The 5,536-nt window shown below is 32.4% G+C and overlaps 1 protein-coding gene across 6 annotated transcripts in view; it reads right to left on the minus strand.

Annotated features, from left to right (window-relative positions):
* The window catches only part of PTPRK (protein tyrosine phosphatase receptor type K), a 551,815-nt gene that overhangs the window by 148,668 nt on the left and 397,611 nt on the right, over positions 1–5,536 (minus strand). The gene's annotated exons all lie outside the window — the stretch shown is intronic.

Raw genomic sequence — 5,536 nt, forward strand, 5'->3', positions numbered from 1 at the left:
TTAGAAGAATCTGAAATTAGTAAGTTTGAATCCATTGGCAACAAAAATAGTTGTTCCCCTAATATAACATTTTATAATCTGCTGTATTTAAATGCTGCAGTTTTCTGTATTTTTTAGTCTCCAGCTTAATTCATTTTTATCAATTAAGATTTGCACAGCTTTTCTTTTATGCAACCTAGTTTTCAGGATATAAATATTCATATTATTTATGTATTTATGAGATGGAGTCTTACTCTGTCGCCCAGGCTGGAGTACAGTGGCATGATCTCAGCTCACTGCAACCTCTGCCTTCTGGGTTCAAGTGATTCTCCTGCCTCAGCCTCCCAAGTAGCTAGGATTACAGGCGCCCACCACCATGCCCAGCTAAGTTTTGAATTTTTAGTAGAGATGGGGTTTTACCATGTTGGCCAGACTGGTCTCGAACTCCTGACCTCAGGCAATCCACCCACGTCGGCCAAAGTGTTGGGGTTACAGGCTTCAGCCACTGTGCCTGGACCATGTTATGTTAAAAATGCTTGTATTTTATAATTCATTTTTTTGTGACAGGATAAACATGATCCAAGAACCAATAAATGCACAAACTCAACAAGAAGTCGTCCTCATTATGGAAAACACAAGAAACCCACTCATCATGCAAAGATTCTTTGATTATGAAATGCTCATAGGCAAACAACAATAATACCAATACATAATAGTCATAGTGACCTATGACTCAAATAACTTCATTTGCTCTTCTATCCATCAGAGTTTTTGGTGAAGGGATCTATAGCATGATTTGCACCTAATGGGAACAAAGCTAGGTCACCGTGGACTTACATGGTGGCGTGTCTGTGTTGCACAAATACCCTGGCACCTGCCTTAGCCATCCAATCCCAATTTTGGAAGAAACTATGCATGCACATATTTTTTCTCTAATATGGCCACTTCTGCTGACAAATACAGGACGTAGAATTCAGAAAAGCAGGAAGAATGCTGAATTTTACACACCACTTTTTACATTAACAATAAAACTAAAGAAGTTTTCCCTTAACAATTTCCTTTGAACCATGAACACAGGAAAGCCACATGTTTGGAAAGGACTGTTTTGAGTTTGGTGTTTATAATGACCTCTGAATTTTTTTAAAAATGTGGTTTTTCTTTTAGCTATGTTCTTAATCTATTCTTGTTACTGGTATGAGACAAAATGATGACATCAGCAAAATATCTCCAGCTTGCCTTCTGACTCATTAATAGATTTCATGCTACCAGTATTAAAATTGATCCTGAGGGCAACCCCAACATTAACCTTTTTCCACTTGAGAAATCTGCCACACATTTCTCAGCTGCTTCCTATTTATTCTATGGTTTTAATCTGAGAAGAAAATTTTCCTCTTAATCCTTGGTCATTCACTTTCCTTAGGTTTATCTTGTAAAAAACTTTTTCGGAAGTTCTGAACACTGGAAGTCTAAACTGCAATAGCACTTTCTTTCCCATAGAACATCTGCCAGTTGACTTCATTTACTGCATTTCTCTCAGGTGAGCTTCCATTTAGTCTTGAAAAGAACAGTGAGAAACATTATTTAAATGCTCTAATAGCATAAATCAGCTGTTTCTGAAAAGCCAGGTGAAGATACTAAGTGACATGCGTAAATTTAAATTTCACCTATTGGCTAAATAACATATAATCTAGTAATTAAATGGAATCTAAGCTAGTAAAGTATATTTACAGGGTCTTGATTCTCTCCAGTAATAAAAACATACCTAAAAACATAAGTTAAAAAAACTTAAACATAACTAAACAAATAACAAACAACACAAGCCATGGATGTGTTTTTTGGTTTTTTTTTTAAATTTACATTCCTTTGATTCCTGTTTCTTTACATTAAATTTCAAAGATCAAAATGAATTGTATTAGATATTGTTACTTAAGTCCCAATTTTACTCTCCAATGAAGAATGCAAACATCTCCTAAAATATAAAAGGTTTTGAATATTGACATTCTTGCTAAAACATATTTCACAAACTTCTTTAGGTGTAATGAAAAATTCAAAATTATATAATAGAAGTTTGAAAATATTTTCTCAAAGGATTTATTTCTAATAGTGCTGCTGACTTTGCCAGTTATTTCCAGGAATAAGCTACAGTTGTCTCTGATAAAATAATAGCTAAAAAAATAAATTTACTCAAGGACCAAATTGGCTTTGTCTCAAAAGAGAAAGACTTCTGTTGTATACAGGTTTCTCAATCATGGTTACTTCTCCTTTCACATTAACTCCAGGATATCATGATAAGGTTAAGTATAATGGAAAACCAGTAACTGCAATGCTTAGGAGAATAGCTTCAAAAATATTTATGCTAGATATTCTCTATTTTCAAATGAACCGATGGACATATTTTAAAAATTAAGGAAAGTTTGGATGTATTCAGCAATAGCTATATACCAGGCAATTATTTAGGTGCTTTATGTGTCATTTTCTTTGGTTCCTACAACAACCACACAAAATAGTTCCTATCCTTCTCTTTGTATTAAAAATAAGGTTAAATGTTTTTTCCAGTCTCAGTGTTTCAGGAAGAAGTCTGATTCTTCAGTATTCCATTGTAATCCAATGAAATCTGAAAAAAAGTTAACTGAAAGAAATGTTGTTAACTAATTTCCCTGTAACTTTTCAATTTGATAATATTTTGTTATCATTATATAATTTTAAACTTAATCCTACTTTCAAGCACGACTAATATTAATTTTTTGCATGTCAATTCTAGTTTTTCCTATGCAAATCTATTCTTATAGACATGATTAGAATTGATATTATATTACTACTAATAATTTTGGTGTTTCAAATAATATGTAAAAATTGTATTCTTAAAGGTATTCTATGTAGGACAGCTTTCTTCTTTTAACAATTCTCACCTCAGAAACTTCTGAATGTTTCCAATCTAAAACGAGAGTATCATGAAACATAAATGTTTATCTCTATTTGAGGCTCTTTATTTTGAATATAGTAATCCCACTACTGGAAATCTATCAAAAAGACAGCATACACACTGCCACATGGCAATTTGTGACAAAGGTTAAATGCTAAGGAATTACCAAACTCATAAGCCAGAAACCAGGGAAGATTAAAAGTGTTTCCTTATGGTTGTATTTTATGTATGTATTGCTTATGGAAAAATTTCTTTACTTATTGAATATTAATCATGATAAAGGCAGAAAAGTATAATATTCTTAACTGCACAAGAAAAAGAAGAAAATGAAACATCAGGTGTGTTGGAGAATATCTTAGACAAAGAAGTCAAAACTTAAACTCCAGTTTAAATTTTTTTAAGGAAGTATTTCAACATGTACTTAATTTCAATTGTTATAGGGAATATAACGCTAAAGTAAAATTATGGCATATTTCACTAAAATGACATTTCTACTACTAAAAACCTAACTTTTCATTACAGGGGAAAAGAGGACTATAGCACAATAAACATGTTTCCCCATAACAACCCACTTCTGTATATTACCTTTTTTTCCTTCAGAATTGGAAGAGAAAAAAATAATTTTAGAAAATAGTTATTTGAAATAGGTTTTTATTAATCAATCAAAATATTTATTGAGTAATAACTATTATTCAGCAATAAATAAGAGTTGAGAAGAGGCATGCTGAACTTCAAGAGCTTTACAAAATAGTTGTAAAACTATTACTATGTAAAACTACAAAATCAAAAACTTTGAAAACATAACTTAAAAAATAAAGGTAAAATAAATTAGCCTTAAATTATAGTGCTGAGTACAGCTTAAATTCAGAGATTTAGAGATGACTCCAATGTAGAACAGAAGGGAGGAAATTTAGTTTTAATCAGACAATATCACTCCCAGTAGGGACTGATAGTCATTTAATATTTCCCTGGACAGATAGCTGCAAGTGATACAAATGTTAAATGGAAGTGACAAATATTTACTGTTCACAGGAGAAAATAAAAGTAAAATGACAACACTTGAATGATGTAATTTGTGTGTGTGTGTGTGAGGCTATCCAGGTTTTCAAATATTTCTGGTCAAATGATTGAAACATTATAAACAGTAACATTAAAATTATATTTTATCCTCATTCTAGTATAATAATCTAAAGGCTATAAAGAAACATAAGTACAAACTTATCTGCACAGAAAAGTTTTGTTTGAAAAAAGCATGTTAATACTATTTTGCATATGAAACTAAGGTAATTTAAAGAAACTCAAAGGAATAAGTCAAAACAGCTGCTTCCTTCTCCCTAAATGATTGCCTTTTTGGACTCTGTACCTTCCAAATGTTGAGTGAATTTTAAATGTCTTTTAATGTGCGGGGTTTTTTTTTCCCCATCCCAGCAATCAACTTGAAGATTACACCACACCTGCTCTCCTGTTTAAGTTTCACTTTTTCTGAACTTAGCACTATACTCCAAAAACTGAATTTAGCTTTCTGATTCTTGTCTAAAAAAATGAGTCAATATAGAATTTTTACTGATTTGTGACCATCGTTAACCATGTTTCTCTAGTGTTCAGAGATGTCTCATTCCATAAAGGGCAGTTAACACCTGTAAGGTAATTATATCTACCAAATGCTGTTGGCCAGGAATATGAATATATAATTGTTGCTGCCATCTGTTAATTGTTCTATTTGAATCACTTACTTCATCATATACACTTACCTGACATCTAGATATTTTTAATAGCCTCGAGAAATGTTACGTATGCTTGTAGCAGAGTTTATAAGTTTTTACATTATTAAGAAGGAATTTTTAAGTCTTTGGGGGAAGACACAAGTTAAATGGATAAAATAGCACATGTGTGCATGTATAGGGGTGGGGAGGAGTTTGGGGTTATTCTACTGAGGAGGAAGCCTGAATAAGAAGGTAAATCATTTTCAGAGAGAAACATTTAATAGAGAAGATAAGAGTATATTAGAAGATAGCTGGATAACGGAGGTGGAATCTTACCTGAAATCCTATAAATTGAAAAAGCACTATTGAGTTCTATCACAAGAACCCCTCAGCAAAAGAGACTGATAAAACTTCTTACCAAGGAGCTGAAAACTCTTTCAATGTAAACCTCTCTCTCTCATGACTTTAAACCTTAAAGTAGAATCCTCAGGTTCCATAGAAGGATTCAGAATTTCTGCAAATGTTTGATACACATTTTATTAGCAGTTTTAATAGCAATAAATGCTGTTAACACTGGGAGGAAATTTACCAGCTGTATGACTTTAGGCAAGTTTCTTCACTACTCAGTGCTTTGGTTTTATCACCTACAAATGAAGGATAACCGCAGTATGAAAATTAAAAGAGAATATATGTAGAGCATGCTTATCAGTGAATACCATACAGTAAGAGTTCAATAATTATTACCTATTATTATAATCATTAAGAAAATTCTAACACTTGGCAGACTAATAATATACTCAATTGTACTGTAGATTATTTTTCTGAAGGCTTCTTTTGCCCAGTTCATGCAGATGGTTGAACACTTTATGGATATGGCATGGTGTAAGTGGGTGGAATAGTGGGTCCCGAAACAGATGTCAACACCTGGAAC

This window comes from Homo sapiens, chromosome 6 (assembly GCF_000001405.40).
Source record: "Homo sapiens chromosome 6, GRCh38.p14 Primary Assembly".
NCBI classification, from domain to species: domain Eukaryota; kingdom Metazoa; phylum Chordata; class Mammalia; order Primates; family Hominidae; genus Homo; species Homo sapiens.